Genomic DNA, 19,691 nt, shown 5'->3' on the forward strand with positions numbered 1-19,691 from the left:
AATGTTTTCTGACCTCGTGGCTGACAAATCTTCTTCCCAGCTGTTTCCATGACAGCAAAACTGTACTCCTCGTTCTTCACACAGCTTCCTCTGCTGCACTGTTTCCCGGGAATGTGTCATGCCACGTGTTTAAAAGGTTTCCTTCTGTACTTCCTTCAGGTTCCTACTCAAATGTCAGTTTTTCAGATGTTTCTCCCTATTGCCCTGTATATAGTTATACTCTCTAACTGCTCTCTATCCCTTATCCTGCATTCTTCTCTTTTAGGGTTGTATTAGGCCATTCTTGCATTGCTATAAAGAAACACCTGAGGCTGGGTACTTTATAAAGAAAAGAGGTTTCATTGGCTCACAGTTCTGCAGGCTGTACAGGAAGCATGGTGCTGGCATCTGCTCAGCTTCTGGGGAGGTCTCAGGAAGCTTCTAATCATGGCAGAAGGTGAAGGGGGAGCAGATACATCTTACATGGCAGGAGCGGAAGCAAGAGAGGGAAGGGAGGAGGTGCCACACACTTTCAAACAACCAGATCTTCAGACTCACTGTCCCGAGGACAGCACCAAGCCATGAGGGATCCACCCCATTGATCCAAACCCTCCCACTGGGCTCCACCTCCAACATTAGGGATTATAATTCAATAAGAGATTTGGCGAGGACAGATATCTAAAGTATATCAGTAGTGTTTACCACATGTGACATTATCATTTTATTTATTTTTAAATGTCGTGTCCATAATGAAATGTAAAATCCATAAAAGAAAGTACTTTGTTGTGTTAATTGCTCTATCTCCAGAACCTACAATAGTTCCTGGCACATAGTAGGCACTCAAGGGTAACCAGTAAAACAATAAATATACACTATATTTCTTCCTTTTCCAAGAATGTGGAGGGAGGGAGAAAACACTTTAAAATGCAATTCAAAAGATGTCATGAAAAGAGAGAGAGAGAGAGAGAGAAAAAGCACAGAAATAGAAAACAAATAAAAAGTACAAAATAAAATGTTAAAAATAAATCCATATAGGTTAGTAATAACAATAAATATAAATGACCTAAACTCACCAGTTAAAAACTAGAGATTTTAAAATTGTGTTTTAAAATAATTCAGTTATGTGCTATATTAAAGAGATACCTTTAAATTGCAGGACATAACATAGGAAGGCTGTAAAAGATGTAACAGGCAAATACAAAGCAAAGAATGTTGTTGTACTTATAGCAATAACAGACAAATTATACTTTAAGGCAAAAACAAACAAAACATGTACCATAATACCAACCACATAATGTTAAAGCAAAAAAAAAAAAAAAAAAAAAAAAAATCACCACAATATATTAAGATCATATGCGTATGCCAAAAATGTATAAAGAAATGACTAATAGACAACAAATTTAGGTTACTTGGAGATAGTGGGAGAGGTGGAGGTTGTGACTGGAAAATATATAAAAGTGACTTCAACTCTAGTGATAATATTTAAAAATTATTCTAAGCTAGATGGTGGGTGCATTGGTATTCAATGTAATTTTATCATATCTGTTTCATGTGAAAATAGTTCATAATTTAAAAACTCTCCCAAATCATATTACTACTAACTTTCAATGCAACAGAGCTGTCAAATACAACATGATACTTTGAAAGCCTGGGTCGGAGAGCGTCTCAGGGAAGAAAAGCAATACGGATTGGCAAGATCACCTGAGGAAGTTTCAAGGCATTCTCTCAGGTCGGGGCAGGTAAGAGCATTCTTGGCTTTAGCAGGATACCCAAATAGGCAAGTTGCTTACACTCAATTTTGTCTTCCAGAAAATGTGTGTGAATAGAACAATTCCCTTGCAAGGAACTCCCTAGCAATGAATGTAGATAAAATACATAGATGTTCAATGAACTGCATCAAGATTTATCTGGAAATGAGGCAGAACAGAGCTAGCAAGGTAGAAAAACAAGATCCTACTTCCTTAACTCCTCAAGGCAAAGAGCCCCTGCCCTCTTTGGTCTTTGGATTACCCATCCCCTCAGGCACTGCGTCCGCGCATAATGGACAGTCACCAGATGGTGAATGCTGGAAACGCATCGGTGTTTTTGAAAGTGAAAACAGACAAATCACCGCAAATAAAGGAATCAGTGTCAGCTCTCTAGCTGGGAACCACCAAGGTTACAAAGCTAACGTGACTGGCCCTGCTATACCGAAACGGCTTAATTTCTTTCTGGCAAATCCACATTTACGGCAGTAAGATACTAAACACTTTCTTTCACTTTAAAAATATTTCGTTTGTCACTGCTGCAGTTTATGTCCCTCAGATGAGTAATACAAGGCAAAAATGAAGTGAGGTTGGGTGGTGTGAACAGCCTTCCCCTTCCATGTCAGCCACGTCTATAGAGAAGCTCACGCGGCCCTTTCCCTTTGCACTTCTCTCCTCTGTAGCAGGCCGCGGGGTGAGGGTGGGATTAGGCGGCCAATTTTACAAAACTCCAGGGAGCGTCGCCAGCCTCGATTTCCTGGGGTTATTCCTGGGAGAGAGGCGTTCTCACGGACAGCCACCCTGGGGAGGAGGAGGAGGAAAGGCACTAATGGATGAGGAGGCCCGCGCACCCCTCCGCCTCCCACCCCGGCGCGCCCTGGAACGCCCTGGAGCGCGCCCGGCTTCCCTCGCCCGCCTGGCCCGCGGCATCCGGCAGCCCCGCCTTCAGCCCGCCGGGCAGGTCCGCACTCCGCAGAGGCGAGCGCGCTCCGGTTCCAGCCGGGAGGTGGGCGGCGACCCATCCCGCTAGAATCCGTCCAGTCTCTGCTCGCGCACCGTGACTTCTAAGGGGCGCGGATTTCAGCCGAGCTGTTTTCGCCTCTCAGTTGCAGCAGAGAAGCCCCTGGCACCCGACTCTATCCACCACCAGGAAGCCTCCCAAAAGAGCTCTCGCCCTGTGGACGACTCGGAATCCCTGGAAAAGCCGGGAGGGAGTCGGAGGCGCCAGCCCACTGGGGAGGTGGCGCTGGGCGCGCGGGATGCGCGGGGAGCCTTCTCTGCAGGAGCCGCACAGTGCACTGCTGCGCGCTGGGCAGTGCGGGGAAGCGCCGCGGGAAGGAGCGGCTCCGAGCAACAGGTGCAGCACGCAGCCCCTCCGGGAGCCAGGGAAAACCGCCGGCGAAGATCTGGAGCGGTAAGGCGGAGAGAAGGGTCTTTCCACCTGCGCGGCTGCAGCCGGCGGATCCCTCTTCCCAGGCTCCGTGGTCGCGCAGCGGGCGGAGGCGCCCGGGAAGGGGACCCCAGTGCTCTCGAGATCACCGTCCCTTCCCGAGAAGGTCCAGCTCCGGGCTCCCGAACCCACCCTCTCTCAGAAGGTCCCGGCGCAAAGACGGTGCCACCAGGCACGGCCACCGGATCCCCGCTCCCGCTGGCTCGCGCCTCGGGGGAAGCTCAGACTCCTAAACTCGCACTCTCCGTGCTTTGCGCCGGGACCCCTGGCCACCCCCGGCGCCTACTATCCCGCCCTCCCTCCCCGCGCGCCCCGCCGCTCGCCGGGACAGCCCCGCGGGCCATGGAGCTGGCGGTCGGGAACCTCAGCGAGGGCAACGCGAGCTGGCCGGAGCCCCCCGCCCCGGAGCCCGGGCCGCTGTTCGGCATCGGCGTGGAGAACTTCGTCACGCTGGTGGTGTTCGGCCTGATCTTCGCGCTGGGTGTGCTGGGCAACAGCCTAGTGATCACCGTGCTGGCGCGCAGCAAGCCGGGCAAGCCGCGGAGCACCACCAACCTGTTCATCCTCAACCTGAGCATCGCCGACCTGGCCTACCTGCTCTTCTGCATCCCCTTCCAGGCCACCGTGTACGCGCTGCCCACCTGGGTGCTGGGCGCCTTCATCTGCAAGTTCATCCACTACTTCTTCACCGTGTCCATGCTGGTGAGCATCTTCACCCTGGCCGCGATGTCCGTGGACCGCTACGTGGCCATCGTGCACTCGCGGCGCTCCTCCTCCCTCAGGGTGTCCCGCAACGCGCTGCTGGGCGTGGGCTGCATCTGGGCGCTGTCCATTGCCATGGCCTCGCCCGTGGCCTACCACCAGGGCCTCTTCCACCCGCGCGCCAGCAACCAGACCTTCTGCTGGGAGCAGTGGCCCGACCCTCGCCACAAGAAGGCCTACGTGGTGTGCACCTTCGTCTTCGGCTACCTGCTGCCGCTCCTGCTCATCTGCTTCTGCTATGCCAAGGTGCACGCCGGTCGCGGGGCCGAGACGCGCGAGGGAGGGCGGAGGGCCGGTGGGGGCCCTGGGGTCTCAGTGTCCCGCGGCCCTGCCGGAGCCTTGGCGGCAGCCTGGCCCCGGTGGTCCCCACTCTGGCGGCGCTGGTACGGATCTGTGCAGAGAGGCTTCCTGGCCGCTGCTGGAGCGTGCCATTGGCTTGCGCAAGAAAGTTACTTGGAGTCTGAGAGATGCTGGGGAAAGTTTGCAGTTCACTTCGCATGGTCCAGTAGAACCAGTTTCTCCTCCCCTCCCCTTCCTCGGCCCTGCGGCCCTTCAACGCCCCCAGGTTGCCTGGGCGGTAGGTAGGCGGGCGCTGCCGCATCCTTCCCGGTACAGCAAACCCCGCTCGGTTCCAGCAACTCTTCAACCAGATCAGCTGCGCGGGGAGGTTACCGCCGCGGCGCTGTGGGACCTGAGGAGAGCTCTGGTGGTCACCAGAGCGCGGACCTTTTGCGAGGGTGACGGGTCCCCACAGCTCCCTCCCGGGCTCTCAGCTGGCCGTGGCGGGGGGGACTCGCGGGGCGGCCCCTCTCCCCCGGGGTGCGCAGTTTGCCCTCGCTCCGAAGGCTTTGCGCACACCGGGCTCTGTGAAGCCGCTGCTCCCGGGGACAGAGCCTCGAATTTTATTTTATTCTGAAGCTTAGCTTTGTAAACCCAAGTGCAAAAGGGTGTTTCTTTACAGAGTCTTGACCGCAGGCTCCAGGAACTTGGAATGGAATGGACTCGAGCTTTCGGCTTCCCCATTTCAATCCTTTTTAGAAAGGTCTCCTGAACAGGGTGAAGTGGTTGAGGCGGCGGGTCTTCACCCTAACTGTAGCAGAGGCACCGTCCACGCGTGTGGGAGATAGTTTTTCCCTTTGTACAGCCGGGCAGAGCTCAGCACTCACATTCTTTTTCTCATTAAGTCCACAAGGGTTTGAAGACTTTATACTGATCAAAACGTCTTCAGCCTTTGACATACGTGTTTTTATTTGCGTAAACGGGAGCTTATTTTAATAATCAGGTGATGGCGATTCACCGGGTAAACCCTAATGTGCGCAACCTCCTCGCTCCAGAGCATCGCCATTTGAAATACAGCTGTTACCAGTTCCACCCGACTTCACCGCTGTCTCTCATTCTGTTTCAATAAGGCTGTGACTATACGACCACAAATAACCTGACTAGGTAGAACAACTATCACTTTTAATACTCAAGTCACAAGGTATTTTTATCAACAAAAGTGTTTACTATAAGCCACCTGTTTCCCCCCACCTATTTCATCTAGGTAGATTGTGTCTATTTTGAATAATAATATTGCTGGATATTATCTGAACGGCCTGCACCAAAAGGTTAAATATGAAGAAATACAGTACCACTTTGGGAGGCCGAGGTGGGTGGATCACCTGAGGTCGGGAATTCGAGACCAGCCTGACCAACAGGGTGAAACCCCGTCTCTACTAAAAATACAAATATTAGCTGGGTGTGGTGGCGGGCCCCTGTAGTCCCAGCTACTCCGGAGGCTGAGACAGAAGAATTGTTTGAACCCAAGTGACGGAGGGTGCAGTGAGCCGAAATCGTGCCACTGAACTCTAGCCTGGCTGACAACGGAGCGAGACTCTGTCTCAAAACACCACCACCACCACCACCACCACCATCACCACCACCACCATCACCACCACCACCACCACCACCACCATCACCACCACCACCACCACCACCACCATCACCACCATCACCACCACCATCACCACCATCACCACCATCACCACCACCACCACCACCACCACCACCACCACCATCACCACCATCACCACCACCACCACCACCACCAATATAGTAGCAGTAAGGGAATTTGGAAAAGAACTCTAGCTTAGCTATTTGGAAAATGGCTGGTTTATTAACGTGGTCTTCCGCAGATGCTAAACAAAGGCTATCTTACATAGCACAATTATCTGATATGTGCACCATCTCATTTAATTTGCACAACTCTGTGGCTTGGAGCTATTTTATTATTTACCCGTATTTTATTATTTAAGGAAAAAGAGCTTTGGAAAGGAACACCTGACCCAGATTATGAAGCTGGTGAATGATTCTGGAAGGATTTTAACACAGGGATTCCCAGTCTTCTGAGGACGGGACAGTTGGTGAGGCCTTGAGGACATTGAAGTCTGAGATTGAGATTCTTAACATATATGGCTGTTAAGTTCCTAATTACTGTGGAGAACTGAAGCACACGCTTCCTTATTTCCCCAAAGCCTTCAGGGAGAAGAGCTAAAATCTTCTTACTGGAAATGACAAAGTAAGATTTTAGGAGTAAATTGAATTCAGCATAATATTCATAATATTTGCAAGTTAATTTCAGGGCTGTCATGGATAGGTGGAGATTTCAGTTATTTCAAGTTGATTTTCTTTGGCTCAGGCATTAGGTGTGCACCATCCAGTTAAGGATTTTGCTACTTGAGTATTAGTTTCAGGATTAGCTGTTCCTCCAAACCCCAGGCCTTTTGGATAGCCTGAAAAAACACAGATGGCTAAAAGGGAACCTGAGGTTATGATGCTTTAAATAAACAAAAAAACTTAAGACAATTGCATTCCAGAGTTGCCTTTTGCCTCCAAATTCTCACAAGTTTGTAAGGGAGCAGTCTTTTGCACCAGACAGTTTCTGGGAAACTCATCGAATACATGGGTGGGAGGATGAGTCGAAGTGGTCTGCCCAGTGCCCCCTGAAGAGCCCTCCCCTCTGCTGCTATGGAGCTGTTCTTCACCAGGTCTGTGCCCCTCGCTCACTTCCCTTAGAGTGAATTACTGTCCAGAATCTCCTTGGTCTACCATGAGGATAAACTCAATGGGCCCACTCGACTAAGTTACTCCGAATCCCCAGGATGTAGCCAGCAGGACCTGGGTTTGGTTTGAGCTAGCACCTTCCTGTGCACACTCAGAAATTTACAGACTCACCAAGAGACCCCAGTATGTTATTATCACTCTCTTCTTAAACGTCGTCATACCCTATCATGGTACCTACATTCTTCCTCCTTTGCTGCTGAGACCTTCAGTGGGGTGCATCATAATATATCATTCTGTGCTCATAGTAGGAGCTATTGAAGAGAAGCAGAGCTAATAAAAATAGACTTGAGTATTTTCTCCATTGACCATTTAACAGCATTCAACATTCTTGGGTGTTTTGAAGTGGCTGAGCTGTGATCCGAATTCCTTTTTGGAAGGAACAATTGGAGCTCGGCAGCGTTATGAAGCTGGTCACATTTGGACATTTTGTTGTGATTTGTCCAGGTGTCCCTCTTTGATTTTGCTTGTGCGGCCTCTCCTGTTGTCTCTCCTGTGTCCTCAGTGACCAGTGTTGTCCTGTGGTTTCCCATTGGGAAGGCTGCCACTGAGCCATCTAGGCAGTCCTGTCCTCTTGGGCAGGGTCCTGCCTCCTCCAGCCCTTTCCTTCCCCTTTGAAACGCTCTCATTTGCTCCTGCAGGAAATCCCTGTTCTGTCGTTGCCTTGCATTCAGGTTTTGATACTCCCATTTCGGCTGGTAGAACAGTAAACTAACACCTTGTCAATGTATTGAGTGTTTTCCCAAATGCTCCTGCGGCACGTAAACACTTGTTTTGTTGCAGATGTTGCTGAGTCATTTCAGGAAGTGGGAAGCATTTCGGTAGGGGAGAGAATTTAAAGTCAGAAATTCACGTCCCTGGGGTGGCTGCTTGTTCACCTGCATAGGGCCTGGGCAGCTGGTAAATATATCCTGTGGCTTCCAAGTAAGGTGTGACTAATTGCTCTGAAAGTGCCTCATCTGGCTGAATGGAGCAGGCTTTTGCAATAAGTTCAATTCGATTAAATTATTTCCATGCTACAGGGAACAAAGAACTGGTTGGAACATGGCTTCCGGTTCCTTGAGAGACTTCTCAGCAATCTACAGATGCTCTAAAGCACTTAGTCGCCCTGGGGCTAGATTTTCTCTAGATTTTTCCCTCAGATGGGATATAGCAATGAACTTAAGTGACAGTTCTGCAGGCTTGACAACGTTGTCTAAGACCAAATATATGTTGGAAATTCCTACATCTAAAACCCCACATTTTCATATCATTTCTCCTGAGTATTACACTGGCAAGAAAAGACAAAAATAGTTTCTGTAATTGAGGGAGTCAGTGTGTTTCAAGGAGATTCCCTGACAGGGACATTAATTGTCAAACCTTGCAAAAATGTTCTGTAAATCATCAGTGACGCTGAATCCCCAATAAGTTGTCTGAAAGCACAGCACAGTGGGTAGGATTTGAATAAAGAATGAAAGGAAGCCTGATGGGAGGTGATTTGCCATACGGAGAATTGCAGTGGAGGCAGCCCATAAGAGGAAGGAGAAAGAATATTTTGGCACAAACGCTGGCAATATTTGGGTTGGCTGCACTGAAGAAATGTCTGATGATATTATCTTCATTTGTTTACTTGCCTGCTTTCCGCATCAGATGGTGAATTTTGGAAGGGCAAATCTCTAGTTTTTCGATGCATCCAGGATCTAACTTTGTGCCTGACATGTAGCAGGGACCTGGTGTTTATTAATATATGGGGTCCTGGAAGAAACCAAGGAAGACAATAGTGTAATAAGCACACCTGAGTGGGTCATGGCATGGCTGTTTCTGGGCAAAACCCCAGAGCTCCACGCCCTGGGCATTCTCTGCAAACAGGTGCTATGGCTGTGAACTTGTCTGGCTGTGCATCAGCCTTCCTGGCTGCTCCTAAGTGTTAGAAAAGAATGTATTTGGCAACTCATGTTCATTGTTACCTAATTACCTAATTTGAGTTTTTATTTTAATGATCTTATAAATAGTGATGTTACCATTTCAGCATGTCAATAATTGTTAATGCAACATAGGCAGTGGGTTATGAGAGGTGAGGCGAACTGATTTCAATAGTCTGTGTCTTTCAGGTCCTTAATCACTTGCATAAAAAGTTGAAGAACATGTCAAAGAAGTCTGAAGCATCCAAGAAAAAGGTAATGATCACAAATATATATATATATGTTACTTTTCAGAGCTTAGTTTACCTTTGTTTTTTTTACTTGTCCTCACGTCCATCCAAAGCCTGTAACATTTAGGACCCTTGGTGTGGCTAAGGAGGTTTGAGATGAGCCTCCCACCGTTAGGATGGGAATGGAGGGTCGGCCTTGGCAAGGGCACCGTGGGTCACTCCGTGCTGCATTCAAACTTAGCTGAAGATCTGGGGAGATGAGGAAATGCGGATTCTGCTGATTGTGCGCCTCACCAGGAGGTGAGTGCACTTAGGTTGACTGAGACAGAGTGCAGAGTGCAGAGTTGCTGACATGCATACTTAGAGGGAAAGTATAGTCATTTTGTTTTATGTTTTCAATCTCTGATGTGATTCCGAAAAGCCCTGGTTTGGTTCTTGTTTAAGACAACATTGTTATAATCCCTCCCTAAAGCCACCAGAGTGCTGGGCCATTCTTGCCTCTTTCACCCACATGTGCTGACTCTGACCCGGCAGGTAAAGACTGAAGAGTGGACAAGGCTGAAAGCAGATTCCTCCCGTTGCTAACTGACTTTCTCATCCCCCAGCCCCGATTTAAACAAGCTTCTCCTGAGTGGTATTACAGCATCTAACTTATTGATGGTCATGATATTCTACATTTTGGGGGAAAACTATTTCACAAATCAAGGTTAAATGAACTCTTACTCAGAAAATATCTATATAGCTTCTAATTTTAGGAAGTAGAATGAGATTATTAGGCAATATGACTAAGGAGTAGGAGGTTATAACCAGATATTTTAACCCAAAAGTGTAATAATAACATCTTAAAATACCTTGTTTTTTCCTTATATTTATTATGATCAATGACATACCTAATTTATAGAAATTATAGTTTAGATCATGTTTAATCATGTTTACTTAAAAATTCTACTTGAATAAAGGACAGCTCTTCCTGACTTTCCTTCTTTATGAACAGTAATGTGGCTAAAAAGCCATCTGATAGTCCAGAGTCAAAACCAGTGGTAGAGAATTGGTTATAGAGCACAAACATTAAGACTTTTTTTTTTCCCTGGCAGCAAAAAATTAGCTTATGTTAGAAATGCAATCATACAGTGTTTAGGATAACCACCTAAGAATACAAGGTGCAGTATAAATAACAAGACCATGCTATGGCTTTATTCCATTGATCCTTTCTTACATCTGAACAATTATTATGAATATTTCATTTTAGGCATCTAGGCCCCGCATTAGAGCAGCTGACCAAGTGCTAAGTTATATGAATGGAATAAACCCTGTAAGTTGGTGCTTTCCTCCTCTCTTTTTAGTGATGTGCTGTTATGGTAGAGATTTTCCATTTTTCTGGTATATCTATTGATTTTTCCTCTGAGTCACACTTCTTATTTCTAAGACAATGGTTCTTTAAAGACAATTAAGGATAGTTTCTGACTTCTCCTAGGACAGTTATTTTTAGAGCACCTGCTCTGTGTAGGACCAAGCCGATCCAGGGGATTCTAAGAGGAACTGGCTCCGCATGGAAGCCAACATTGTAATGGAAGAGATCAATGTGTGAGTCCCAGAGGCCTGTTCAAGGGGGCAGTGTTTGGAGCATCAGGGAAGGGAGAGATTAATTTCCCTTGGGAGGGATTGGGCTCGTCAAACTTTAACTGAGAAGACACCATTGATCTGTGATAAATGTGTGTTAATGATTCAAAAGATTTTATGCTTACCAAAAGAAATAAAACCAAACATTTATTTAACATTTGCTGAATCTTACTTGTGTCGATGGTAGTTTTAGTCTCCATATTTGAAAAAGTATTGGAGAGAAATTGTGAAGGTCTCAGAGAAGAACAAAATACTGAAAAAATAGGTCTTATAAAAATGATTAGAAAAGCTTCTATTTTATTTTACAATAAAAAACCTAAAGATCAGTGATTAGTTCAGTCATTAGTTATATACACATACACATATATACACAAATATTTAGATTTATGTGAGTATATGTATATATAATACATATGTGCTTACATATATACATATACTAAATATATCTATATAAAATTATCTTTTGCTTATTCTTACCATGAGGATCTAGCATTTGAAGAAGGGATGAAGATTTTCTTTTTCGTTTTCACAGCCTCTGACCCTTAACAGCTACTGAACAGATGTCAGATCTTTGTTGATGTATTTAATTGCCTCCTTGTTTGCACAGAATAAATAAATGTGGTGGTGGTGGTGGTGATGATGGTGGTGGTATTGGTGGTGGTGATGGTGGTGGGTGGTAGTGGTGGTGATGATGGTGATCATTGTGGTGATGGTGGCGATTGTGGTGGTGATGGTGGTGGTCATAGTGGGGGTGGTGGTGGTCATGGTGGTGATGGTGGTGGTCATGGTGGTGATGGTGGTGGTGGTGATGGTGGTGATGGTGGTGGTGGTCATAGTGGTGGTGGTGGTGGTCATGGTGGTGATGGTGATGGTGGTGGTGGTCATGTGATGGTGGTGCTGGTGATGGTGGTGATGGTGATGATGGTTATGGTGGTGATGATGGCAATTGTGATAGTGATGGTGGTGGTGGTGGTGGTGATGGTGGTGGTGGTCATAGTGGTGGTGGTGCTGGTGATGGTGGTGATGGTGGTGGTGATGGTGGTGGTGATGGTGGTGATGATGGTGGTCATAGTGGTGATGGTGGTGGGCGGTAGTGGTGGTGATGATGGTCATGGTGGTGATGATGGTGGTCATGGTGGTCATGGTGGCGATTGTGGTGATGGTGGTGGATGGTGGTGGTGGTCACAGTGGTGGTGGTGTTGGTGTTGGTGGTGGTCATGATGGTCATGGTGGTGATGATGGTGGTCATGGTGGTCATGGTGGCGATTGTGGTGATGGTGGTGGATGGTGGTGGTCACAGTGGTGGTGGTGTTGGTGGTGGTCATGGTGGTCATGGTGGTGATGATGGTGGTGATGATGGTGGTGATGATGGTGGTGATGATGGTGGTCATGGTGGCGATTGTGGTGATGGTGGTGGATGGTGGTGGTGGTCACAGTGGTGGTGGTGTTGGTGTTGGTGGTGGTCATGGTGGTCATGGTGGTGATGATGGTGGTGATGATGGTGGTCATGGTGGCGATTGTGGTGATGGTGGTGGATGGTGGTGGTGGTCACAGTGGTGGTGGTGTTGGTGTTGGTGGTGGTCATGGTGGTTATGGTGGTGATGATGGTCATGGTGGTGATGATGGTGATCATGGTGGTGATGGTGGTGATGGTGGCGATTGTGATGGTGATGGTGGTGGTGGTGATGGTGGTGGGTAGTGATGGTGGTGGTGGTCATAGGGGTGGTGGTGATGGTGGTGATGATGGTGGTCATGGCAGTGATGGTGATGGTGGCGATTGTGATGGTGATGGTGGTGGTGGCGATGGTGCCAGTGGTGGTGGTGACAGTGGTGGCAGTGGTGGTGGTGGCAATAGTGATGATGATGGTGGCAATTGTGGTGATGGTGGTGATGGTAATGGTGGTGGTGGTATGTGTGTGTCTAAGAAAGAGATGGGAGAGAGGAGCAGAGAAAGGGTAAGAAGAGGGTGTGGAAGCAGAGGCGTGATGAGAAGGGAGGTGGCGGAGAGAGGGGGACAGAGGCAGGAGAGGTGAGACAGGGGAGACTCGGGAAGGAAAGCAAGAATACATGGCAACTTCCCTGAAGACAGGAACTGGGTTGGTCCATCGTGGGTATTTCCCCAGGTCTCAGCACAGAAAATTGCTACTGGTGCACACGTGTTCATCATTTGATTGGTAATGGAAGATGTGACAGGGATTTGGCTACTTGTTTCCAGCCCTTTCTCTCAATGTATAAGTAAAGTTCCCTTTCTCAGCTCTGTATCCACTGGTCTTAGTACGTTCAGGCTGCTTTAAGAAAATACCATAGTCTGGGTGGCTCATAAACAATGGAAGTTTATTTCTTGCAGTCCTGAAGCTTGGAAGCCTGAAATCAAGCTCCTGCAGATTCAGTGTTTGGTGAGGGCCGTTTTCTGGTTCATAGATGGCCCCTTCTCTCTGTATCCTCACAGAGTGGAAGGTGAAAGGCAGCTCTCTGCGCCCTCTTTCATAAGGGGACTGGTCCCATTATTCATAGGGTGGGAGGTGTAAGGCAGCTCTCTGGGCCTCTTTCAAAAGGGCACTAGTCTCTGTGTCCTCATAGGGTGGGAGGTGTGAGGCAGCTCTCTAGGCCCCCATTCATAAGGGCACGGATCCCATTATGAGGGCTCCCCCCACCTCATGACCTAATTACCATCCAAAAGCCCCACCTGTTAATACCATCACCTTGGTGATTAGGTTCCAATTTATGAATTTTTTGGACGGGGTGGGGACATAAACTTTGAGATGGTGCCGCCGTCCATACGGGGCTTTCCTGTTGAGAGTTATAATTATTATGGGGTGGGGAGATTGGTCTTTCATGATAAACATGCTAACAGTTATTCTCCATGTTTGGAGCAAGTGCAAAAGAAGAATAGGATTTCTACTGCAGGAATAAAGGGCTAGGATTGATCACATGCTTTTCTTAAACTCTGCTAGACATAAAGAAATGTTTCTGGCTCAAAGCTGATTGTTAAAACCTTGGAAGACCTCAAAATGGGATAGACACCCATACTGGATGGTTGCTTCCTGGAGAAAATTGGATTAAAGGACCTCTTGATGTCCTATCAAGCCACTGGGTTCTTTTAATGTTTGCTTTTTTTGTTGTTTCTTTGGCTTAAAGTAATTCAGTAAGGTTTTTGGATGTCATTTATACAATTTGTGAGGTTTTTTTTTTTTTTATCATTCTCACCTTTTATTCAGTTCTTTTCTCCCCAGCCAAATTCCATTAGACATATTGTGAGTAAAATTCTTTGAAGAAAGAACAGACATCTCAGATGATTTGAAAAAGAGCATCTCACAATAAGAAGAGAGACTAATATTTTTTCAGATACTTTCAGCAGAAGGAGCACAAAGAAACCATGCTATTAAAAGACCTAAACTCAAGTGTAAGAAGAATTTGTATAAAGATTTAGCACATAATTTTAAACAATAATTTTTTCTCCATCAAAAGATAATGTTGAGATTCTATACGCTAAATAGACAAAGGAGGGAAGCAGTGCACACACAGGGGACATGCCCGTCTGACGGAGACGGAGGACCCTGTAAGAGAGTAGAAAGAATCACGTCATAAATAAATTTTAAAAATCAGCCTCGTCCTCCACAGAGGGGAGTTCTCTATGTTACTTTCTCTGCGCTGTATCCACTGGTCTTAGTCTGTTCAGGCTGCTATAAGAAAATACAACAGCCTGGATGGCCCATAAACAACGGAAATGTATTTCTTGCAGTCCTGGAGTTTGGAAGTCTAAAATCACGCTCCTGCAGATTCAGTGTTTTGTTACTTTCTGATGTTACTTTCTGATGTTTCCATGGGAAAGACAGGAAGGAAGTGGCTTTTCCAGCCCTTTCTAAGGAAAGGAGATGCTTCAGCCTTAGGGGTTGATACCAAGCATTTTTTATTGCCTTTAAATTGAGGTGGGGAAGACAACTTTCCTTTTGTTGTGACTTTTATGTAATTCATCAGTGGTTCTCCAAACAGTTTCTTGAGCTCCTTTTAAATTTATTTTTAGGGATGGGGTCTTGCTTTGTTGCCCAGGCTGGGGTGCAGTGGTGTGATCATAGCTCACTGCAGCCTCAACTTTGTGGGCTCAAGAGATCCTCCCACCTCAGCCTCCTGCATAGCTGGGACTACACGTGCACACTGCTGCACCCGGCTAAGTTATTTGAAAACATTTTTTAAAGGTGGGGACTCAGGATGTTGTCCAAGCTGGCCTAGAATGCCTGACCTCAAGCGATCCTCCTGCCTCAGCCTCCCAAAGTGGTGGGATTACAGGCATGAGCCACTGTTATCTGGCTGAGCTTTTTAAAAAGGCAGATTCCTGGGTAACTAGTAAACTCTACCAATTGCTTTAAAGCCATAAGAGATGAGGTATAGCTATCCGAATTAAAAAAAAAAAAAAAAGCTTTGCACTGGTTGAGGATGGGCATACTAACCTACTTAAATCCCAGGGTTGAAATTAGTACACGTGCATTATTTTGCCAGATCTTTAACTTTGAGCGTGTCTATGCTAGGCATATATCGTTTCCCGAGTTTGACAGTGTGGAGCAGTAGTAAATCAAAAAAGATGGTTTTCCACTGGCATGGAACTTCTTGCCCCGTGTCCCATCTTCTACCAGCATCCGTTGCAAGGGAAGAATGAAGACAAAAATCATCTACTGTTTTCAACCATGCACATGGGTGTATTTGCCACATTGTCATTGCTACGACTGAATTGGACTCACCTCAAAGATAGCAGGACCAGGTGCCCAGGGCCTGTTTGCATGGAGTTGGCTTTTACCAACCAGGAGGCCTTCAACTTCAATGGCCTGAGATGCTTGATAAACAAGAAAATAGTAATCCCCTGGAGATATTTAGCTGGGAGGATAGTCAGTGTTGACAGGCCTTCTATTAAACTCTTTTGGGAACAATCTGAGACAGATGATATAGTTTATGCAAATACCCATTAAGCCTTCTTTCCTGATATTTATGTTGCAAACTGTAATTCCATCTCATTTCAAAGCTGCTGGTAAACCAAGAAAAAGAACCTGATTCTTATCCATGGCTCTAAGAGCAATGGGACTAGTAAAAATTAAAAGGTAAACTTGGAATGAGTCACAGACACACAAAGTTAACAAACACTGCCAGAGAAAACACTCCGGCCTCAGGGCACACTACCATTTGCCCTGTGGATGTTGATAAGGCATAGATCTTATCAGTAAGCTGCTGGGATAGATTTCTGCTTTGTACTTAGTAAAATTGTCTAAAAGAAACAATGAAATGCAATACCCGGAGGGTAACCATTCTGTGACATAGAGAGATGGTCTGATTGTCTTAGAAAGAAATGATGATGTTTTATATTCTATTTGTAGGTATAATTATATCTAGATTGTTTTGATTAAATCATCTGAGAATGGCATTTCTCATCCACTAATGGATAAATGGATTGATAGAAGGCACTCCCTTAATATATGTGAGCACATTATCTGCTTGCTTTGTGTGTCATGCAATAAGTGGCTTTAATATGTAAGCTTGTACCCTGTAAAACCCGTACTTAGATTTTTATACCTGAGTTGTTTGTCGTGTTTAAATAGATGAGGCATGGTCTAGGAATCATTTCATTGGTTCATCTTATTCTTAGCTGAGGAAGTTGAGGCTCAGGGAGTTTATGACATTTTGCAAAGGTCATACAACCAGCTTATGGCATGGCCAGGTGGGAACACAGACCTGCTGTCAGTCCTGGGGTCTTGTGCAATCCCTGGTGCCTCTCGATAGGGAGCTTAACTCTCATCTCCTGTCCACCTCGCTAGTAGGATTTGTCCTGGCCTTGATCTGAGATCTAGCCCTCCCTCTACTCTCTCTGCCTGGATCCTGGGCACAGCTTCCTGGCTTCCAGTCTCCCTCTTTGATAAACATCATTTCACGTCTTACTTTGCTACCTCATGTCAATCCTTGAAGAGCTGGCATCTCATGCGTTATAGTCTGGTTGTCATTTCTATTGCAGTGGGACTCCAGTTCATGGGAAGTGATAAGAAGAGTCTTTTTGGCCAGGCACAGTGGCTCATGCCTGTAATCCCAGCACTTTGGGAGGCTGAGGCGGACAGATCATGAGGTCAGGAGTTTGAGACTAGCCTGACCAATATGGTGAAAACCCGTCTATACTAAAAATACAAAAATTAGCCAGCGTGGTGGCACACACCTGTAATCCCAGCTACTCAGGTAGGTGAGGCAGAAGAATCGCTTGAACGTGGGAGATGGAGGTTGCAGTGAGCCGAGATTGTGCCACTGCACTCCAGCCTGGGTGACAGAGCGAGACTCCATCTCAAAAAAAAAAAAAAAAAAAAAAAAAAAAAAAGAATCCTTTTGCTATGTAGGATTTCCCCTCCTAGCAGTGTGGAGCTGTGGTTCCCACTGCCCTGTGATAGTCCTGCAGGGTGTGAGGTCCATGCAGGATCACTGTAGGAAGTCCTATGTCCCAAGGGAAAATCTGTGGTGGGACAGTGCTGTCTCAGTCATGGAGTCACTTTCCCATGTCTTAGTCTTCCCTCCATGTGAAGTTATAAGAAAAATAAGGCTCTGTTTATTTTCATTCTTTTTCTCTTTCTCTTCGTTCCCCCCAACTTTTCTTCTCCCACTTATCCATTTTAGAGTATTTCTGTTTAGAAAACAGACTGGTGGCCACAGGTAAACCCTTCATCACATCTGTATGCTGTGATGGGAAGGCCAGGGGAGGGGGTCTGCTTTCCTGCTCCATGAAACCCAGTGAGGTCTGGGAAGAGAGTGGGTATATTAGTCTGTTCTTGCACTGCTAATAAAGACATACCCAAGACTGGGTAATTTATAAAGAAAAGATGTTTAATTGACTCACACTTCCACAGGGCTGGGGAGGCCTCAGGAAACTTACAATTATGGTGGAAGGGAAAGCAAACACGTCCTTCATATGGCAGCAGGAAGGAGAAGAATGAGAGTAAAGGGTGGGAAAAGCCCCTATAAAACCATCAGATCTCATGAGAACTCATTCGCTATCATGAGAATAGCATGAAGGTAACTGCCCTCATGATTCAGTTACCTCCTTTTGGGTTCCTGCCACCACACATGGGGATTATAGGAACTACAATTCAAGATAAGATTTGGGTGGGAACACAGAGCCAAACCATGTCTTACTGCTCCTGGCCCCTCCCAAATCTCATGTCCTCACATTTCAAAACACAATCATGCCCTTCCAGCATTCCCCCAAAATCTTAACTCATTCCAGCATTAACTCAACAGTCTGAGTTCAAAGTCTCATCTGAGACAAGGCAAGTCCCTTTTGCCTATAAGCCTTTACAATCAAAAGCACGTACCTATTATACTTCCTAGATACAATGGGAGTACAGGCATTGGGGAAATACAACCATTCCAAATAGGAGAAATTAGCCAAAACAAAGAGGCTACAGGCCCCATGCAAATCTGAAATCCAGTGGAGCAGCCAAATCTTAAAGCTCCAAAATGATCTCCTTGGACTCCATGTTTCACGTCCAGGTCACACTGATGCAAGAGGTGGGCTCCCATGGCCTTGGGTAGCTCCTCCCCTGTGGCTTTGCAGGGCATAGCCCCCTTCCGGGCTGCCTTCATGGCTGATGTTGAGTGTCTATGGCTTTTCCAGGTGCAGGGTGCAAGCTTTGGATGGATCTACCATTCTGGGGTCTGGAGGATGGTGGCCCTCTTCTCACAGATCCACTAGGTAATGCCCCAGTGGGGAGTCTGTGTGGGAGCTCTGACCCCACATTTCCATTCTGTACTGCCCCAGCAGAGGTTCTCCATAAGGACTCTGCCCCTGCAGTAGACTTCTGCCTGGGCATCCAAGCATTTCCATACATCCTCTGAAATCTAGATGGAGGTTCCCCAACCTCAATTCTTGACTTCCGTGCACCTGCAGGCCCAACCTCATGGGTAAGCTGCCAAGGCTTGGGGCTTACACCTGCTAAAGCGATGGCTTGAGCTATATGTTGGCCCCTATTAGCCACAGCTGGGACACAGGACACCAAACCCCAAGACTACACAAAGAAGCAAGGCCCTGGGCTTGGACATGAAACCACTTTTCCTCCTAGGCCTCTGGGTGTGTGATGGGAAAGGCTGCCATGAAGACCTCTGATGTGCCCTGGAAACATTTTCCCTATTGTCTTGGTGATTAACATTTGGCTTCTCATTATTTATGCAAATTTCTGCAGCCTGCTTGAATTTCTCCTCCAAAAATGCGTTTTTTTCTTTTCTATTGCATGATCAGGTTGCAAATTTTCCAAACGTTTATATGCTTTGCTTCCCTTATAAACGTAAGTTCCAATTCCAAACCATCTCTCTCAAGTTCAAAGTTCCACAGATCTCTAGGGCAAGGGCAAAATGCCACCAGTCTCTTTGCTAAAGCATAGCAAGAGTGACCTTTACTCCAGTTCCCAAGAAGTTTCTGATCTCCATCTGAGACTACCTTAGCCTGGACTTCATTGTCCATATCACTATCACCATTTTGGTCAAAGACATTCAACAGTTTCTAGGAAGTTCCAAAATTTCCCACATCTTCCTGTCTTCTCAGCACCCCCAAGGCTCTAGGAAGTTTCAAACTTTCCAACATTTTCCTGTCTTCTTCTGAGCCATCCAAACTGTTCCAGCCTCTGCCTATTACCCAGTTCCAAAGTTGCTTCGACATTTTTGAGTATCTTTACAGCAGTGCCCCACTCTCTGCAGTACCAATTTACCGTATTAGTCCATTCTCACACTGCTAAGAGACATACTCAAGACTGGGTAATTTATAAAGGAAAGAAGTTTAACTGACTCACAGTTACACAGGGATGGGGAGGCCTCAGGACACTTACAATCATAGCAGAAAGGGAAGCAAACATGTCCTTCTTCACATGGCAGCAGGAAGGAGAAGAATGAG

General features: G+C 46.5%; 1 protein-coding gene and 1 long non-coding RNA gene across 3 annotated transcripts in view, besides 2 other annotated features; one reads left to right on the top strand and one right to left on the bottom strand.

Annotated features, from left to right (window-relative positions):
• LOC124904329 (uncharacterized) lies at positions 677–4,419 on the bottom strand. Its single transcript, XR_007066422.1, has 2 exons — positions 3,816–4,419; positions 677–2,525 (listed from the first exon to the last, which is right to left on the bottom strand). It is a non-coding gene; the product is annotated as an uncharacterized LOC124904329 (long non-coding RNA).
• Positions 2,452–3,123: an enhancer, noted in NCBI's record as "H3K4me1 hESC enhancer chr18:74961440-74962111 (GRCh37/hg19 assembly coordinates)". NCBI's record gives its function as "activates a minimal SCP1, AML or CMV promoter by ChIP-STARR-seq in naive H9 embryonic stem cells {active_cell/tissue: H9 hESC(naive)}" and the evidence as "EXISTENCE:reporter gene assay evidence [ECO:0000049][PMID:30033119]".
• Positions 2,816–19,691, top strand: part of GALR1 (galanin receptor 1) — a 28,053-nt gene continuing 11,177 nt past the window's right edge. The window contains exons 1-3 of one of the 2 annotated variants that reach the window (XM_017025691.2): positions 2,816–4,182; positions 9,126–9,191; positions 18,423–18,560. In XM_017025691.2, coding sequence (XP_016881180.1) covers positions 3,517–4,182; positions 9,126–9,191; positions 18,423–18,500 — 810 coding nt within the window. In that variant the 5' untranslated portion in view covers positions 2,816–3,516 and the 3' untranslated portion in view covers positions 18,501–18,560. Of the gene's footprint in view, positions 4,183–9,125; positions 9,192–18,422; positions 18,561–19,691 lie in introns of those variants that run through there. The other variant, NM_001480.4, reaches the window with a different exon arrangement.
• Positions 3,795–4,466: an enhancer, noted in NCBI's record as "H3K27ac-H3K4me1 hESC enhancer chr18:74962783-74963454 (GRCh37/hg19 assembly coordinates)". NCBI's record gives its function as "activates a minimal SCP1, AML or CMV promoter by ChIP-STARR-seq in naive H9 embryonic stem cells {active_cell/tissue: H9 hESC(naive)}" and the evidence as "EXISTENCE:reporter gene assay evidence [ECO:0000049][PMID:30033119]".

The sequence above is a fragment of the Homo sapiens genome, chromosome 18 (genome assembly GCF_000001405.40).
Source record: "Homo sapiens chromosome 18, GRCh38.p14 Primary Assembly".
Classification (NCBI taxonomy): Eukaryota; Metazoa; Chordata; class Mammalia; order Primates; family Hominidae; genus Homo; species Homo sapiens.